This window comes from Homo sapiens, chromosome 4, assembly GCF_000001405.40.
Source record: "Homo sapiens chromosome 4, GRCh38.p14 Primary Assembly".
Taxonomy (NCBI): Eukaryota; Metazoa; Chordata; class Mammalia; order Primates; family Hominidae; genus Homo; species Homo sapiens.
Window position 1 is genome coordinate 47,859,090 of NC_000004.12, and position 20,650 is coordinate 47,879,739.

At 35.4% G+C, this 20,650-nt stretch overlaps 1 protein-coding gene and 1 long non-coding RNA gene across 6 annotated transcripts in view; one reads left to right on the forward strand and one right to left on the reverse strand.

Annotated features, from left to right (window-relative positions):
- The window catches only part of LOC101927179 (uncharacterized), a 65,504-nt gene that overhangs the window by 27,745 nt on the left and 17,109 nt on the right, over positions 1 to 20,650 (forward strand). Inside the window, exon 2 of one of the 2 annotated variants that reach the window (NR_125880.1) lies at positions 16,088 to 16,242. This is a non-coding gene — a long non-coding RNA (uncharacterized LOC101927179). The remainder of the gene's footprint in view (positions 1 to 16,087; positions 16,243 to 20,650) is intronic. The other variant, NR_125881.1, reaches the window with a different exon arrangement.
- The window catches only part of NFXL1 (nuclear transcription factor, X-box binding like 1), a 67,435-nt gene that overhangs the window by 11,857 nt on the left and 34,928 nt on the right, over positions 1 to 20,650 (reverse strand). For 3 of the 4 annotated variants that reach the window (NM_001278623.1, NM_152995.6, NM_001278624.2), the window contains exons 16-19: positions 20,007 to 20,028; positions 19,436 to 19,576; positions 16,038 to 16,204; positions 3,757 to 3,826 (exon numbers count right to left, since the gene is read on the reverse strand). In NM_001278623.1, the coding sequence (NP_001265552.1) occupies positions 3,757 to 3,826; positions 16,038 to 16,204; positions 19,436 to 19,576; positions 20,007 to 20,028 (400 nt within the window). Of the gene's footprint in view, positions 1 to 3,756; positions 3,827 to 16,037; positions 16,205 to 17,922; positions 18,103 to 19,435; positions 19,577 to 20,006; positions 20,029 to 20,650 lie in introns of all 4 variants that reach the window. The other variant, NR_103795.1, reaches the window with a different exon arrangement.

Sequence of the window (20,650 nt, forward strand, 5' to 3'; positions counted from 1 at the left end):
AAAATATTCACTTAGAGATGAGATGTGTTACCCTTCCCAATCAAAGTGGGACAGGTTTTTTCTACTCTACTCAGCCCTCAACATCATTCTGCTAGCACTTCAGTAAGTCATACCAAATGGTTTACCTACAAACAACACTGTCTGCATCAAAACGTTCCACTTTAATTCCAATAATAGGAAAAGCCCTCTTTCAAAAGAACTAAGAAACACTTGTAGAACAATATTATTTGTAGATAATCATAATCACCATAGCTACCACATATATAGCGCTTACCATTAACTAAGTCCGTTACATGTTATTACCTCATATAATACTCAGCACTCTGAAGTGGGTATTATTAGTGCCCCATTTTATATATGAATAAGTTCAGTTACACAGAAGTTAAATAATTTTCCCAAGTAAAAAGTAGAAAAGCTTGCATGGGAATGAGACAACCAAATTCATAAATAATTTTAAAAAGCAGAAATACCGGCCAGGTGCAATGTCTCACGCCTGTAATCCCAGCACTTTGGGAGGCCAATGTGGGCAAACCACGAGTTCAGGGGTTCAAGACCAGCCTAGCCAACATGGTGAAACCCCGTTTCTACTAAAAATACAAAAAATTTGCTGGGCGTAGTGGCGGGCGCCTGTAATCTCAGCTACTCAGGCAGCTGAGGCAGGAGAATCGCTTGAACCTGGGAGGTGGAGGTTGTAGTGAGCCAAGATTGCGCCACCGTACTCCAACCCAGGCAACAGAGTGAGACTCCATCTCAAAAAAAAAAAAAAAAAAAAAAAAAAAAACAAACAAACAAAAAAAGTAGAAATACCACATGATCTCACTCATACGTGAAATATAAAAAAACTGAACTCGTAGAAGTGAAAGAGCAGAATGGTAGTTGCCAGTGACTGAAGGACAGAAGGGGATTGGGGGGATGTTAGTCAAAGTATACAAAATTTCAGTTAGATATGAGGAATAAACTCAAAAGATCTATTGTACAAAATGATGACTATAGTTAATAACATACATTGTATTCTTAAAAATTGCCAAGAGAGATTTTAAGTGTTCTCACCATAAAAAAATGCATATATTAACTCAACTTAGTCATTCCACAATGTATACATATTTCAAAACATGTTGCCTATGGTAAATATACAAAATTTTATCAATTAAAAACTTTGAACATTTAAAAAAAATAAAATAACTGAAGCCCCATACCATGTAAAATAAAATAAAACTTCCATTTTGTTCCTCTTTATATCTCTTTTAAGAAAGAGCAGAAATGCATATGTGGGGCACAGTTTAAAGGTATGTTCTTAACGACATCCTTATGTTTTCATTTAGTTAAATTCAAACCTAATAATCCATAGAGTGTGTATCAGAGACACAGTGGAGCTGGAAGGATATGCTTATGCCACTCCCACAATTTATTCTTTTATTCACATTCAATAAACATTTACCAGTGGCTTAATGTGTACAACCTGTGTAACAGGCACTGGATACAAAGACAAATATGACATAGTCCCCTGCCTGTAACAATCTACAGTATGGGAAAGAAACAAGAACATAAATAAGAGTTTATCAGTACATCAGAATTTACCAGAATCCCATACCTTAACTTTGAAGTACAAAGATTCAAAGTGATATACTTCTTGGCTGACACTGGTTCTCAATGTGTGCTCTTGGACCAACAGTATCACTATTGCTTACTATTTAATAGAAATGCAAAATGTAGGCCCTACTCCAGGCCTACAAAATCAGAAACTCTAGAGGGGGGCCCAGCAATCTGTGTTTTTTTTTTTGAGACGGAGTTTTGCTCTTGTTGCCCAAGCTGGAGTGCAATGGCGCCATCTTGGCTCACTGCAACTTCCGCCTCCTGGGTTCAAGTGATTCTCCTGCCTCAGCCTCCCGAGTAGCTGGGATTATAGGCACATGCCACCACGTCAGGCTATTTTTTTTTTTTTGTATTTTTTAGTAGAAACGGGGTTTCACCATGTTAGCCAGGCTGGTCTCGAACTCCTCACCTCAGGTCATCCACCCGCCTCAGCCTCCCAAAGTGCTGGGATTACAGGCATGAGCCACCATGCCCGGCCCAGCAATCTGTGTTTTAACAAACCCTTAAAGTGATTCTAATGAATGTTAAAGCAACAGAATTACTGTTATGGTGTCACCAACGTCAAGAGACCATAAACGAAAATGAGTTCTACTAGACACAATGAAATTCACCTGTCTACTCTTAGATTGTTCCAAACTATAACGGCCATTTGAATTGTTCCCAGGCTACAGATACATTTTTCAAGAAAGCCCAAGGAGATCTAGCAATACCAGGGGCTCCAGAAGGACCTAGAATCCACAATCATGAAAATGACCCATCTAGTCCCACCAAAAGTCATAGCATCACAACTTATTTATAGCTAAGGCAATTCTAAGTTATAAATTAGCAACACCTGAATTAAATTACCATATTTCTATCTAATAAATCATACCAGGTTACTAAGATTAAAAATAAAACATTCCCAACTACTTATTACCTGGAATCTGAATTGGGATAGAATAAAATTTATTTTAACAAGGGAAGTTCAGGATTTGAATAATTCAAAAAATTAAATTTGAAATATCCCATGCCCTAGTTTCACTTATAAAGACAGGATTATTAAAACAACCATTTATTACTTCAAATGGCCTCTCTTCTTATAATCTTACATAAATTTAAAAACTCTCAATTTCCAACAGATCTTAAATCCATAAAAAGTGGTCCAAAGCCTTAGTTAAAGGAAAATATTAAAAAGGTATGTAATGTATTGATTCCTGTTTTATACTTAATCAAAGACTGATTATGATATTTAACACTTAGTTGTCATCTATTTCTGACTCTAAATAAGGTGATAAACACTTAGATAAGGGCATAAAGACAATTTAAAGGAAAAAGATACTATATAGTACATCTGTAAGTCAAAAGGATTCCTTTTTAAATGTCTACCCAAATCAAGTAATTTTAACTGTCCCACTCCCAAATCCAAAAGTGCATCTTCCCTTTCAGATTGGCCAAATGTAGAAGGACTGCTTTGGTTTCTCAAATTATTACCAGGATAAATCACTAGTGAGTTTCTTTACCTTTTTACTTTGCACAATTTTTTCTAACTACTTTTTGACAGTTTTAGTTTGAATAAAATGCTTAGACAACCACAAGAATCTTTAAAAACACAACTTTATAGATGAATGTTTTATATTAATATAGTAATGAACTTGAAAGGCTCAATGATCTGAATGGTACCAACACAAAAGGCCACAATGAAAATGCAGAGGTATCTTCTACGTCACCATCTTCAAAATGCTGTGGATATGAATAGCCATCCTCGCACATTATTCCACCACAGATGCACACACATGCACATGCATACACACACGCACCCCTATTTTTAAAAATAACCTATTATGGATTTACTGTCTAACTGCTATGACCCACATCATTCCTGACCTACTTTAAGTATGAATCACATTTTGAGGGATAAGCACTAGGTCAATACTTTATTGTATAAAGTATGTAAGCTATCTTTAAAATTGCTTTCTTAAAAAAAATCTTCAAAGGGTCATTTCAGGTCCTAATATCACCAAATTTATAAAATGAGATGCATCTACCCTAACTATATGTCTTACGTGTTTATTTAAAAAGATACAACAGAGAAGACCTGAAATAATTTGACCAAACAAGAAAAAAGAAAATCCAAGAGAAACAATGCCCAAGGAATACAATTTAAAAGGTTCTACTAAAGCTTACCTCTTTAGGGCACTGATTTTTGCAACAACTGAGGAGGTTCTTTTCATTTACATCAGCTGTGGTTATTTTTCTAAAAATAAGAAAGTTGATGACATTCAAACAAAAATCCATTTTATAGCATAATTTTTCTAAAAATAACTCATAATTTCAAACATATCCATAAAATTATCTTTTTTCCTCAAGAAATACTTTAATTATTTCTCTATCTGTAACAATTATCTTCAAATTACTCAACTGTTCTGATAACTCAAACCATCCAGCCCTTTACTACTAACAAGTCAAATGCCAAAAGTGTAATCGCTGCAAGAAGTACAAAACACACACAAAATATCATCTGGGCCTGGCCTCTCTTTAATAGTTCCTGTAACTATCTTTCCCTATAGATTTATCATTATAATTCATAATTACAATTGTTAATGCCCCTACATAAAAAAATTTAAAACTAATTATTTAATATGTTCAAATTGAGGAATTTAGGCTATTTGGTGAGAAATAAAATTAACTTATTTAAAAAGCTTGGGTAAGCTATTAATATTAGAAATTAATTCACTTTAGGCCAGGTACAGTCGCTCTAACCTGTAATCCCAGCACTTTGGGAGACTAAGGCAGGTGGATCACTTGAGGCTGGGAGTTCGAGACCAGCCTAGCCAACATGGTGAAAGCCCATTTCCACTAAAAATACAAAAATTAGCCAGGTGTGATGGTGCATGCCTGTAATCCTGGCTACTCAGGAGACTGAGGCATAAGAATCGCTCGAACTCAGGAGGCGGAGGTTGCAGTGAGTCAAGATCATGACACTGCACTCCAGTCTGGGTGACTGAGCAAGACTCTGTCTCAAAAAAAATAAAATAAAATAGTAATTCACTTTAGATCTGATCATTTTTGAACAGTCTGCACTTTAAAATGCTTTTATATCTCAGTGAGTAATTCAGAAAAAAGTCACAAACACCAAGGAATAAACCTACTTTCCAACAGACACTGCCTAAGTCAGTAACTAGTGACAATCTAAAACTCCCTATCACTTGCGTCTCACTTTTCTGTTTCCCATACCTTTTTTCTCCTTTCCTTTTTTCTGTATTTTCTTACTTTTCCTATTCTTGCTTTCACCAGACATAACTGCCAAAATATACCGTAAGTTCAGTCTCCTTAATGTTAATTAAAACTATTATCTAAATATTCATACTAAATTAGCTATAAATATACTCTAAGATATTTCTTGGCAAAGTTCCCCTTAATACCACAAAGTTTTTATGCTGGCTCTATTAAACACTTGCATTTTTAAGATTCTTACAAGTATAATGTTCACCTCTGAACTTAAAGAGTTAATATTATTTTATTCCTGTTACTCTATACTTAGGAATAAATTAACTTTTCAAGTTCTATATCTTTTACATCCAAATTCTACAGAAGAAATTAACATGAAGCAGAAAAAGACTATGGTATAATAATATATACATATTGGTTTTCGTCCACGGTTCTTGGCTCATCACTCCCACAGCCCCTGTTATTTTTCCCCAAGGCATGCCATTAAAACTAAAAATATAACCTTCCTCCGCCTTTCTGTCTTGAGCAGGCCGTAAAGAAATTCTCTGACCTACCTTGTCTGATTGTAGGTCATAAGACCCCATTTCAGAAGGGGTCCTGTCCCATACTCTGGAAGAAGGAATGCTGTACACACAGGCCAAAAAGAACTGAAACAGGCCTTGTTGGGTTTCCCTACTCGGTCTATAATTACTAGATCACACCCTCTGTCCAGTCACACTTCTACATGAGTGTCCATACTTCAATCATGCCTATCCAATGAATTCTCCATAAAGGCCCAAGAAGATAGGGTACGAAAAGCTTATGAATAGCTGAACACAGAGGTTCCTGGAGGGTGGCATGCAAATGGTGGGGCAGGGGTAGGAATGGAATCACCATACCCCTTCTTTCATACCTCACTCTATGTATCTCTTCATCTGTATACTTTGCAATATCCTTTATAATAAACCAGTAAACATAAGTTAAGTTTTTCTCTGAGATTTATGAGGCACTCTAGCAAATTAATCAAACCCAAAGAGGGGGCTGTGTGAACCTAAACTTGAAGCCGGTCAGTCAGAGATTCCAGAGGCCTGAACTTCAGACCAGTGTCTGAAGGGAAGGCAGTCTTGTGGGACTAAGCCCTCAACCTACAGGATCTGACACTTTCTCCAGGTAGTCTCAGAAATGAATTAGAGGACACCCAGCTGGTGCCTGCTACAGAAGTGATTGTTTTCTTCTTGGTTGAAAGAAACTCCCACACATTTGGTCACAAAAGTCTTTTGTGTTGATTGTTGTGTTTTAAGAGCAGAGGAAAAACAGTTTGTGTTTTTTTCCACACAGGACTAAAAGGAAAAGATGACTTAAATAATTCACTGAATTGAAAGCAAACGAAATTATTAGAACTGAAGCGATAGAATTCTATATTAAAACATATACTTTAATATGTATTTAAGAAAAAAAATCTGTAGTGCTGAGGTAATGGAAGCCACCTTAATCCAAATATATCCACATGTCCCCCTCAAAAAACATATAGCTCATTAATAACAAAATCACTGAATCCCACGACCACAGCACAACTAGAAGACACAAATTTCTACAAACTTCAAATTACCTATAACTAGGAAAAAAAAAAAAACAACTCCTGAGAGAGCTATTTTTCAAGCTCCCAATGCAAGTATTTTCATAGAGCTAGTGGAGTTCTGAAAAAAACTAAATGAAAAACAGAAGAGGAGGCTGAGCTAAAATCACAACAGAAAAAGGTCCCCCTAAATATGAAAATACTGAAAATACCCTGGTAGACCACAGCACTAACTAAAGGGAATGGATTTTAACAAGTACACCAGGCTGGGTGCAGTGGCTCATGCCTCTAATCCCAGCACTTTCGGAGGCCGAGGAAGGTGAACTGCCGGAGGCCGAGGAAGGTGAACTGCCAGAGCCCAGGAGTTCGAGACCAGCCTTGGCAACATGGCAAAACCCCGTCTCTACAAAAAAACACCAAAATTAGCCTGGTGCGATGGTGTGCACCTGTAGTCCCAGCTACTAGGAAAGCTGAGGTGGGAAGATCACCTGAGCCTGGGAGGTCAAGGCTGCAGTGAGCCGTGAGTGCGCCACTGCATCCAGTCTGGGAGACAGAGAGACACCTTGTCTCAAAAAATAAAAATAAAAAAAAATTTAAAAAGTATACGAGATTCAAGTAGCCAATCTTGGAAAGGCAACACTCCGGGAAGAAGGTAAAAAGGGAAAGGCAGACTTTAGACTTCAGACTTGTTTCAAAATAAAATAAAATAAAATAAGTACACAAGATTCAAGTAGCCAATCTTGGAAAGGCAACACTCTGGGAAGAAGGTAAAAAGGGAAAGGCAGACTTTAGGCAGACTTCTTTAGACCCGGCAAAAGAAGGGAAATTTAGGATTTTGCAAGACCAAAGAAAACAAAAGTAAAATAAGGACACATAACTCCTCTCCTCTTCTCAGTACCACCCTCAAACGCCAACCATTTAAAAAATTGTATTTTCCCACACTGGCAAGAGAGTGGTCATCAACTAGAAATCTTATACTAAGCTCTGTCCAAAAACATAAAGATATGTAATTTACAACTATAAAAAACTACTATAGAAAATAAACAGAAAATGACATCCAAAGCCTTTTTGCTGATGAAAATCCCCTCCTGTATCTCCCACCCAAAAAAAGAAGTACAAAGAAGAAGAAAACTGGAACATAATATTCCAAACTGAATTAACTATATGAAACACTGCTTATACAGAAGTGTTAACCTAGCAGACCTGACCACTATCTTTTGAAAGGCCTCCTTGTAAGACTAGCCCTTGGCTGGTGCTTGGGAATCTGGATTTCAGGAAGGTTCCCACCATTCCCAGAACTGGTAAGAACAGCTGACTATGTCTAAACTGTATAAATCAAATGGTTTATGCTGAACAGTTGCTTTCCCTCTTGAGAGCCCTGAACTCTGGTATGTACCAGGTGAGGCTGCCTATGTAGCCTTCCCCCAGTAAAAACTCTAGGTGCTCTAATGAACTTCTCTGGTTGGAAACATTTTACAAGTGTTGTCACAACTCAGTGCTGGGAGAATTAAGTACAAACTATGTGGCTCCACTGGGAGCAGACTCTGGGCGCTTGTGACTGGTTTGCCCTACACTTCACCTCATGTGCCTTTTCCCTTTGCTGACTGTGCCTCCTACCCTTTTGCTGTAATAACTCATAGCAGTAGGTATAACTATATGCTGAGTCCTGTGAGTCCTGGCAAATTACCCAATATGAGCATGGTATAGGGCTCTTCAATACACTACCACCTTAAGTCAGAAAAGCAAAACCTAAGAACATAATGGAGAAGAAATGAACAAAGGTTGATTGAATTCAGGAAAAAAAAAATTAAGATAAAATTACATCAGAAATAAAAACTAAATTACAAGGTGCTCATGAAAGAACATATTTACAGAAGAACATACTTGAATCAAAATTTAATAAGGCTCCCTGAAACGAGGCAGCAAAACATCCTAGATGATAAAAATGAGATATAGAAAAAAGTATCAAAGAAGTAATTGAGTGAAATGGGAGACAGAAAAAGAAAACCCAACATATATACAATTGATATCACTAAAAAACAAAATAAATGAAACAGATCTGGTATTTAAAACTATAATCCAGGAAAATAAAAATATTGAACTTATATGTTGAAAGGGCTAATCAGGTACCTGAAAAAATTTATCAAAAATTATTAACCCTGAGTCGTACCTTAATAAAAACATTAGATTTTAAAGATGGAGGAGGAGGAGGAGGGAAGTGAAGGAGAAAGAAACAACTTTAGGGGTCCCAGGTAAAAAAGATCAATTAACTCATAAGGAGAAGAGACTGGCATCAAATTTCTCAAAAGTAAAATATAAACGAAAGCAGCATAGAGCCACATTTCCAAGAAACTCTAGGAAAGAACGCATCAATAAAAGACTTTTTATACAACTGTAAATGCTATAGCAAAACATTCTTAAAACATGCAAGGGAATGTTTAAGAATTAAGCATTCAGGGAATACTATACTCACAAGCTCTCTTGGAGAAACTACTAGAGGATGCACTTCATTCAACCAAGAGAAGATTGGGAAATTTCAGCAAAAAGACTGATGGTTGAAATTCAAAATTGAAAATCTAAGAAAAAAAGGGCTGGGCGCAGTGGCTCACGCCTGTAATCTCAGCACTTTGGGAGGCCGAGGCGGGTGGATCACGAGGTCAGGAGATAGAGACCATCCTGGCTAACACGGTGAAACCCTATCTCTACTAAAAATACAAAAACAAAATTAGCCAGGCGTGGCGGCGGGCACCTGTAGTCCCAGCTACGCGGGAGGCTTAGGCAGGAAAATGGCGTGAACTCGGGAAGCGGAGCTTGCAGTGAGCCGAGATCGCACCATTGCACTCCAGCCTGGGTGACAGAGCGAGACTCCGTCTCAAAAAAAAAAAAAATAGAAAAGAAAAAGAAAAAAAGGTCGGAATGGGGGTAGAATAATATATAAATGTCATATGTTCTGAAAAAGAATAAAACATGCAACTAAACAATGAGAAGAGAAGGAGAGAAAAAAAGGCAAACAAACTCACTGATTGTCATACAGTCTTAAATGAGAACCAGGTGATAAAATTAAAAGCTGACAAACCAGTTAGTAAAAGATGGAAGAAACAAGGGTCTAAAGACATTAAAAACGTACAAAAAAAAAAAGTAATCAACCACTAAACGAAAACAAACCTTAATAGGAGAAAATTGTAAGAGCAAAGAAAACGTATCACATAAAGAAAAAGTGACATAATACAAACAGTAATCATAAAGTAATAATTCAGAGCTAAACCAAAGATATTAGTGATATTAAAAATTGTTAAAGGACTTACTTAACTTGCCTACTAAAATGAAAAAGGGGATGCATAAGAATTCAAGCCAAAAGTATTAAATGTAACAAAGGATACCTTTCAATGCTAAAAGCCGTAATTATTAAAAATTCTGTATGACATATAACAGCTTAATCATCTTTATAAGCAAAAACTACAGCAGCTGCAAAGAGATACAGAAACACACTAACAGGCTAGGCATGATGGCTCATGCCTGTAATCTCAACATTTTAGGAAGCTGAGGCAGGAGGGTCTCTTGAGCCCAGGTGTTTTGAGACCAACCTGGGCAATACAATGAGACCACAACTCTACAAAAAGTTTCTTAAAAATTATCCAGGCGTGGTGGTATGTGCCTGTAGCCCCAGCTACTTGAGAGGCTGAGGCGGGAGGATCACTTGAGCCCAGGAGTTCAAGGCTGCAGTGAGCCATGACCACACCACTGTACTTCAGCTTGGCCAATAGAGTAAGACTGTGTCTCAAAACACAAAAACCAAACAAAAAGAAACACACTAATAATATGAAATTGTAATACAGCATTTTCAATATAAGACAAAGCTACTGTATTAAAACATGATCCACACACACAACCCAAATCTTATATCCTGATTTTACGATATTACATCTTCTCAAGCACATGGAACATTCACAAAAATTGATCACCTTATTTTACAAAGGAAGCACTGTTAAGTTCCATAAATTAGAAAAATATTACAAACACATGCTCTGATCACAATGCAATAAAACTAGATCTTCTATTTTAAAAATCTTGACTATAGGAGGAAGTATAATGTAAAGACATAGAAACTCTCAAATACAAAGAAAGTAGTATATACATGAATATATGGAATATACCTAAAGCAATAAATAATCCATAAGCTTTAAGCACATCTATGATAAAAATGAAAGCATGAAAATAAATGAATTAAATTCTCAATTCTTCTTAAAGAAATTTAGAAATTTCTTTTTAAAGGAAATAATAAAATAAGAGCAGAAAAAATGTGGTAAACCATAAAAGAACAGTCAATCCAGTTAATCAAAATCCTAAGTTTTTTAAAATAAAAAAATTTACTACCTAACACTCAAGAAAGAAGGAGAAAGCAAAAATATTCAAAATAAGAATGACAAGGGGAAATCATAAAACAACAACAAAATTTTAATCACGGTAAGCAACTACTTTACAAACTTTTAAATACAAATAAATTTGAAAAATCTAGATGAAATAGATAATTTCTAAGGAAAATAATAGTTTTCCAAAAATGACCCCATAAGAGAGAGAAATTTTCATTAGAAAAAATAGAGAAAGTTATCAAAAACAACACACACACATCAGGCCCAGATGGTTTCATAGAGGAATTCCATAAAACCCTCAATGACCAGTTAATCCCAATGATACTACATATTCTAAAGCATAGAAAACCAAGGAAATAGCCAAGTTTATTTTATAAAACAAACGTAACGTTGATACCCAAATCTGACAAAGACAATACAAAATTTAAAAATTATAGACTAATACAATTAATGAACATTTTTAAAATCCTAAACATTAGCAAATCCAAATCAACAGATCTAATGATTATCTCCACAGATGCTAAAATATCATTTGGCAAATTCAGCATCCAATCTTATTTAAATATACACACACACTCAAGAAAACAGAAATTGTTGGATACTCCAACATGGTGACAAAGCCAACATCTTACATAATGTAGAAATACAGGAAGTAATTCCTCTAAAGAAAGAAACAAGGCAGGGCCAATACTATTTAACACTGGACTGGAGATGTTAACCAATGATAGGAGATGACAGAAATCCATTATGAGGCAAAAGTATTGTAAAGAAAGAGACCAAAACCCCAAGGAAAAAAAAAATATGCAAAGGACGTCAACAGCCAATTCACTAAAATAAATTTTAAAATGGTCCTCATTAAAACAGAGAGCCTAGAAGCAATGAAACACAAGGAGCAAAAAGCACACCAAGTGGCTTTTAAATATCACTGCCCATTAAAAAGGCCCTTAGAGAAATGTCTAAGTCCTGGGCTAGGATATGTAAAGTACAAGATGAGCCTGGGCCATTTTTATTAGCCAGAAAAAAAAAGAAAATACTAAAACAAAGATGGAAACACATCAAAGGGACATGAGAACCAGTTTAAAGACACTCCCATGGGCCTTTGATGTTCAATAAATTAAACATCAAAATGATGGCGAAGGACCAAATAAAGAATCCACTGGTTCATGCCAGTATTAACATACGAGGTTGGGAGAGCTCTTACAGTAAAATGTCAATTAATAAATGTAGAAGATGGAGTTAGAAAATTCCCACTTGGCAAGTTTTTATTTGTTTTGTAAAATACACTTGGTTCTTTGGGAGGCCGAGGCGGGCAGATCACGAGGTCAGGAGATCAAGACCATCCTGGCTAACATGGTGAAACCCTGTCTCTACTAAAAAAAATACAAAAAATTAGCTGGGCGTGGTGGCAGGCGCCTGTAGTCCCAGCTACGCGGGAGGCTGAGGCAGGAGAATGGCGTGAACCTGGGAGGCGGAGCTTGCAGTGAGCAGATTATGCCACTGCACTCCAGCCTGGGTGACAGAGCGAGACTCCGTCTCAAAAAAAAAAAAAACAAAAACAAAACAAAAAAACACTTGGTTATTTCCATGGGTTTCTATGCTCTAGAATACTTTATGTAGTATCACTGGGATTAAATGGTCAAGGGTTTCATTAATGAAGCATCTGGGCACACATGCACGTGTGTTGTTCTTGAGAGCTTTTTCTATTTTCTCAAATGTTATCGTAGTAACAACTCATTTACAACAGAATCATCAATGGATGCTAAAATTCGTGGGTGAAAGTTTGATGAGGAACAAGCTATATAAATAAACAGAATGCAGGTGTGACACTGCCCAAGTTCATTACTATCCATTAATAATGTAAAATTGCCCTCTAAATTCCCCCTACAAAACTTCTAAGACTAAAAATTATAATACTTTATTTTTGAGATTTCAACAAAATAACTTTAATATAAGAAAAGAATAAAATTTGTCTTCTATAATTTAACAAAGCATGAGTCTAGAGTTTAGGGAACAAAAATGTTAGCTAATATGAACAGGAATTTTTCAAAATGTAATTATGCTAAAAAATATGAAATAAAGTAATATTCCCAAATGAAACTTGAGGAAAATATATTTACAAAAAGCTCACTTTACGGACTGGAGTGAAACAGCCAGGAGAGTTAAGTGGTAAATTATGTTATATCATTATTAAATAAAAGGGAAATTTTTTTCTTCTATCTAAATAATCCATAAGCAAAAACTGGCATTTTTTTAAATGAAGAAAACATACTGGTTTGGTCATATCCTAGTGTGATAGGTGCTATAACAGCAACGCTTGTAATAAAGGCCTACCTTTTAAATCTATAACTTAAAAATTATGCTTAAGTAGGCTGGGCATGGTGGCTCACCCCTGTAATCCCAACACTTTGGGAGGCCAAGGTGGGTGGATCACGAGGTCAGGAGTTTGAGACCAGCCTGACCAACATGGTGAAACCCCATCTCTACTAAAAATACAAAAATTAGATGGGTGTGGTGGCACGTGCCTGTAATCCCAGCTACTCAGGAGGCCAAGGCAGGAGAATTGCTTGAACCCAGGAGGCAGAGATTGCAGTGAGCCAAGATCGTGCCACTGCACTCCAGCCTGGGCAACAGAGCGAGACTCTGTCTCAAAAAAAAAAAAAAAAGAAAAAAAAAATTATGCCTAAGTCAACTACTGGCATAGCTCAGAGATATTGCAGGTTCAGTTCCAGACCACCTTAATATAGCGAATATCATACTAAAGCAAGTCACACACATTTTTTGGCTTCCCAGTGCATATAAAAGTTATGTTTACACAATACTGCAATATACTAAGTATGCAATAGCATTACATCATAAAAAACAATGTGTATACCTTAACAATACTTTATTACTAAAACCTGCTAACACTCATCTGAGCCTTCAGTCAGTCTTAATGTTTTCACAGATGGAGCATCTTGCCTAGATGTTTATGGCTGCTGACTGATCAGGGTGGTGGCTGCTGAAGATTGAGGTGGCTATGGCAATTAAAAAAAATAAGACAATAGAGTTTGCTGCATCAATTGACTCTTCCTTTCAGGAAGATTTCTCTGTAGCATGTGATGCTGTGTTTCATAGCATTTTACCCACAGTAGAACTTCTTTCAAAATTCCTATCAAACCTGCTGCTGCTTTATCAACTAAGTTTGGGTAATATTCTAAATCCTAATCCTTTGCTGTCATTTCAGCAATGTTCACAGTATCTTCACCAGGAATAGATTCCACTTTCTTTGTTCATCCATTAGAAGCAACTTCTCATCTGTTCAAGTTTTATCATGAGATTGCAACAATTCAGTCCCATCTATAGGCTCCACTTTTAATTATAGTCCTCTTGCTATTTCCACCACATCTGCAGTTACTTTCTGCACTGAAGTCTTGAACCCCTCAAAGTCATCTATTAGGGCTGGAATCAACTTCTTCCAAACTCCTGTTCCTGTTGACATGAATGTTCTTAATGACATCTAGAATGGTGACTCCTTTCCAGAACGTTTTCAATTTACCCAGATCTATCAGAGAAATCACCACCTACATCTGGCATTTATTTCTCAAAAAATTAGACCTGAAAGTTGAAATTACTCCTTGAACCATGGACTGCAGAATGGATGTTGTGTTAGCAGGCACGAACACAACATTCATCTCCTTGTATATCTCCATTATAGCTCTTGGGTAACCAGGTATATTGTCAATGAGCAGTAATATTTTTAAAGGAATCTTTCTGATCAGTAGGTCTCAACAGTGGGCTTAAAATATTCAGTAAACCATGCTGTAAACAGATATACTGTCATCCAGGCTTTGTTGTTCCATTCATAGAGCACAGACTAGATTTAGCATAATTGTGAGAATGGTAAATGAGTACTGGCTTCAATTTAAAGTCACCAGCTGCATTAGGGCCCTAACAAGAGAGTTTGCCTGTCCTTTGACACTTTAAAGCCAGGCACTGACTTCTCTCTAACTATGAAAGTCCTAGATAGCATTTTCTTTCAACAGAAGGCTGTTTTGTCTACATTGGAAATCTGTTGTTTTGTGTAGCCACCTTCATCAATGATCTTATCTAAACCTTCTTAGATAACTTGCTGCAGCTTCTGCATCAGCACTTGCTGCTTCACCTTGCACTTTTATGTTATGGAGATGGCTTCTTCCCTAAACCTTATGAACCAACCTATGCTGCCTTCAAATTTTTCTTCTGCAGCTTCTTCATCTCTCTCAGTCTTCACAGAATTGAAGAGAGTTAGGAACATCTCTAAATGTTGTGGCTGCTTTGATCTTCTATCCAAACCACTAAAACTTTCTCCATATCAGCAATAAGGCTGCTTTGCTTTCTTATCATTCTGTGTTCGCTGGAATGAACTTTAATTTCCTTTAAGAATTTTTCCTTTGCATTCACAACGTGGCTAACTGTTTGGTGCAAGAGACCTAACTTTTAGCCTATCTCAGCTTTTGACATGACTCAACTAAGCTTAATCATTTCTAGCTTTTGATTTAAACTCAGACATGTAACTCTTCCTTTCACTTGAACACTTAGAGGCCACTGTAGAGTTATTAATTGGCCTAATTTCAATACTGTTGTTTCTTGGAATAAGTAGGCGCAAGAAGAGGTAGAGAGATAGGGGAACTGCTAGTGATGCAGTTCAATCACACACAATATTTATCAATGATTCACTGTCTCACAGAAGTGCAGTTCATGGCACCCCAAAACAATTACAATGGAAACATCAAAGATCACTGATCACAGGTTATCATAACAGATATGAAATGAAAAAGCTTGAATATTGTGAGAATTATCGAAATGTGACAGAGACACAAAATGAACATATGCTGTTGGAAAAAGGGCATCAATAGACTTGCTCAATGCAGGTTGACAAACTCCAATTTGTAAAAAACTCAGTATCTGCCAAGTACAATAAAGTGAAGTCCAATAAAACAAGGTGTGCCTGTATGTACAAGTCAAATTTTGATTGAAAAAAATTCTAATTTGACATAGTCAAACTATCAGGTATAGGAGTATTTAAATTTTTTTTAAAAGCAGTGAAACCATTTTTTTCATAACAAAATCTTATACAGAATCCCGAAATGGAAAAAAAGCACAATTTCCCTGTTTGAATTCAGGATGAAGTACCCAGAAAGTGTAGTATTCTACATGTCTTCCTTCCAGGTCTCTACTGGAAAATCTAGGCATCTAGAGTTTAAGCAAAGTACACTATAAAGGGTTCTTAATTATAAAAAGATACCAATTCAACTAATTGTAATAAAATAAGACTTTTTTTTCAGTCTACTTACCTACATTCCACATACAGGCTTGTGATCTTACAGTGACATTTTATTCTAAGCATCTGAACACAAGGTGGACATTCTCCAGGGTGACATCGCAAAATACATGGGTGAAGACAACCTAGTGGCCGTGACTTGGAGCACCCTTCCTCACAATGAAGGCATTCTGGGCCAGCCTGAAAAACAGCATGGAAATAAATCACCTAAGTACAAGGTAAGCCTAACATTTCCATATGTTACAGTTATAAAATTTATATATCCCATTAAAATAAAGTACTTCTGCAGTTCTTAGAAACAGAGTTAATCAAACGGTACATGCTCTCATTTATCTTAAAAATATTCAAACTAAAGAACAGCAAGATTGTCAATATGACTATTATTCATATAGATTTTTTTGCCTATGAGCCTCATTAAGTCAAACTGCCTCATTTTTAAAGGAACCTTAAAATGGACTATATAAAGTATCCCACTAAAAATGTAAATTACTTCCTAAAGAATCGTCAAAGACAGAAATAAAATATACAGAGTAAGAATGTTCATTCATTTCTATACGATAATCAACACTGAACTAAAGAAATCAATACACTGTTAACACATAAATAAAAATTCCAAAGCACTAAACAGTCTGGAGGTAATTATCTCATCTTGCCAAAGAGAAACACATATACAATGAAAAAAGAATGACCAGTAGTTTATATTTTAATGCACATCAATGAATTAAAGTTAAATTACATTTTACAAATAAATGTACCTCAACGTAACTTAACAAGGCACCTCCCTTTTCTCTAGTGATTTAATAATGTTAACTAGCATTATAATCTACTAAAGAAGGTTAAAAATACTTATTTCAGGATATTGTTTTCTCACGTCATACTTGAGGTAAAATAAGAGAGCTATAGACATGGATACTAAATCTTAAAGGTCAAACATTTTTATTATCATTCCAAAGAGAAGCCATGATTACAACAGTTATTATAAAATTCTAAGCTATTTTTTGACATATAGGATTAAAAAGAAACAGTGCTTCAAATTATAAAAATATTATTTTATAAATTATTTTTTAAAAACATGTGCCAGGCATTGTTCTTGGCACTGGGAAGACATGAGATAGGCTCCTGGAACTTACATTTATGTGAGGAGGTAAAGAACATGAATATAATGTCTTCGTAACTACTCTGAAGAAAGATAAAGCAGGATAAGAAAGAGTGATGGCAGCAACAAGAAGGAAGCCTGACTGATAAAGATCACATGTGAATAGAAATTGAGTTAAATGAAGGAGAGAACAACCAGAAAGGAGAGCTCCAGAGGAAAGGAACAAGTACAAAGGGTCTAAGAAAAAACAAATGTGGAATGTTCAAGTAACAGGATGAACAGAGGCAGAAGTGAGTAAGCAAGAGAGTGATGAGAAGTCAGATGAAAGTTGGGAAAGATAGTCAGGAGTTAGATCATTACTGAGCCTTTACAGGCCATTGAAAAGGATTTAAATTTTGGTCTGAGAGTGACTGAAAACTACCAAAGGATATGGAGCAGAAAGATGATACTTGATTTAAATTTTTTAGAAGATTAATCTGGCTGATGCAGTAAAACAAAGTGAGTAGAAATGTTGGTTAGGAAATTACTGCAGAAATCTAAGTCAAAGGTAATGGTGGCTTAGATGAGGGTGGTAGTGGTACAGGTTATGAGAAACTGTCAGATTCAGGATCTATTGATGACAAACCTAACAGGATTTTCTGTGGGAAAAGGACAACAAAGACAAGAAAGAAATCAAGCATGATTCCTATGTCTTTGATCTGCACAACTGGGTAAAAACGGTAAAATGACTTTCTGAGATGGGAAAGACTGAGCAAATATTAGGCAGTGAGTAACAAAATATGCAAAAAGAACCAAAGTTCACCTAAAGAGTTTATTTCATTTGCTCTTCCTATGTGGTACACCTACAAAAATCTTCTATTTAAATAACATGAGTAGAAGAGCACATTGGGCTGGGAGTTAAAAGATCAGGCACAGTACTTTCTGATTTGCTACTCTCCTGTTGCAGAATCATGGACAAATCACAGAGCTTCAGTTTCCCTATCTGCAAAACAAAGAGTATACTTAGAATATGAGCTCCTTCCAGCTATGGCAGAAACAAAAAAAATCACTGAATCTACACTTACTAAATTATCTTCCTGGATCACTTCCAATATCAAGTTCTATCTTCTAGGAAAGACTATCTTAGTTAAGAAATACAGCAAGTCCATCTGTCAAATATCATACGCAGTTCTCATTTAAAAAGAAAAACAGAAGCTTTAACCCAGGAAGCAATTTGGGGATAATCCACAATAAATCTCTAATAGTCATATCAGCTTTGAAAATAAGCTTTTTCTGACTCACTCCGTATTCTGGAAATCTGGAAGAGGGAAGCCATACAGCAGCTACACCCTAACTAGTTAAAATGATTTTGTATCATTATTTGTTAGTTTGATTTTATAATTCTAGCATCTTTTTTGTTTTATCATGAGTACATTTTTGAGGGTCAAGGCATGGATCAATGAAGAAATTAAAAGCAATACATTTACACATGTTTGCACATGAAAAAGAAGAATACCTATGTTGTCATGTATTATAAATTAAAGACCAAAAAAATAACCTAACGACGCAACTAAAATTTTCAATAACATAAGTCATATTAATAATTTAAATAGTTGTAAATTTAATGTTAATAATAAAGTGACACTTAAAATTTTCTGGCCTATTTCTCATTTAGACACTAGTATTACAACTCCCTACAGAACGGAAGTCTAGAAAAAAATTATTTTAAAACTAAAGTTTAACACTAGCTACATTTGTTTTTCCTTGTAAGATGACAATTTTCAGAGATCTTTGAAAAGCTGAGTTCTCATACACTTGTAAAATGCTTTTAGTTAATTATACACACAGAAACACTGCTCATCTGTGATGCCATTTATTTTACTTTTAACAAAAGATTGGGAATTTATTTAAATTTATTAAAATTATGAACATCATCCATCCTGTGTGTCAGGTTTGAAAACTAACTTAGAGTAAATGCTCTAAACTCAGATATGAACAGAGAGAAATGGAGGTGATACTCTTACTTACTATCTAAGAAGATACATAACCTATGTATTTTTATCATAAAACCATATCCTATGTATTAACACAGGTACAGTATGTAAAGGGTTCCACATTAAAAGGCACATTATTATGAGCTGGAATAAAGACACAGAACTATACACACCAAGCTGTCTAAGGCCAGCTGTCTTAGGAAAGGAAAAGAAGGAGAAGGGATGAGGGCAAAAAAAGAGACAGGAAGCTAAAGCAAAACAGAAAAATATTTATGGTATAACTGTTGAAAAAACGTTTCAAGAATACTATGGGCAGATATACATTCAATCTAAGAACATTACCTTGTTTTTTCCAGTGCAGCCATCAGTTTTGGTTACTTTGTGGCATTCTTTCATACATGTGTGATTCTGACAATCCAAGATTCTTCCACAAACTCTTTTACAAGAGTAGGGTCCTACAGCATGGCATGGTAGTGGACTCACCTTAAAAAATAAAGGAAATCAGCACAGCACACATTACTCAAACGTTTCTGGACATATTATATGTTTCCAAAATTACTCTGCTATCATTTGAGAACAAGTTTCAGAAAGGTATAAGTTTGCACGAATAATAATAATATCAAAATCAAAGTAACCTGTCAAAATATTTCAAAGTAATGAATGCCAAGAAGCAAAATGTTCTCCTCCTAAAAGGAAAATTCAATATGATTCTGTAGTGAATGCATATCCACAGGCTAATTCTCAAATAAAGGCACTACATATTTTTTAAATTAGTAGATAAACTCTTGTACTCTTTATAACAGTAAAATAACAATACTTTGACTTTGTTATTTCTAACAACTCTAGTAAAGTTATACTAGTATGTAACAGTATAGATTATAAGCTTTACTTAAAAATTGTGCCTGTAACTTACCTCATGTTTCCCAAGACATTCCCTACAAGGAAAAAATAAAATAAAATGAAAACATTACAAATTATTCAAAAATAATACCTAAAGATGCTAACTCTACTAGCATTAAAAAAATAAATACATATGGAATAAGCAATTATAGTAAAGTTACAGGACACGAAGTTAATATACAAAGGTCAACTGATTTCCTATATAGTAGCAATGAGCAATTAGAATTTGAAGTTAAAAACATAACACTACATTAGCACAAAAAATGAAATACTTGGGTATGAATTTAACAAAATATATACAAGATCTCTATGGGACAACTACAAAATACTGATGAAAGAAATCAAAGATTTAAATAAATGAAGCAATATTCCATGTTCACAGTTATGAAGGCTCAAAATTATTAAGATGTAGTTTATTTCCAATTTGATCCAGATTCAACATGATTCCAATCAAAATCCCAGCAAGTTATTTTGTATATATCAACAAACTGATTCTAAAGTCTATATAGAAAGATAACAGACCCAGAACAGCCAACACAATACAAAAGAAAGCAAAGTCCAAAGACTGACACCACCCAACTTCAAGAATTACTATAAAGCTACAGTGATCAAGACAGAATGGTACTGATTAAAGAATAGGCAAATAAATGAATGGAA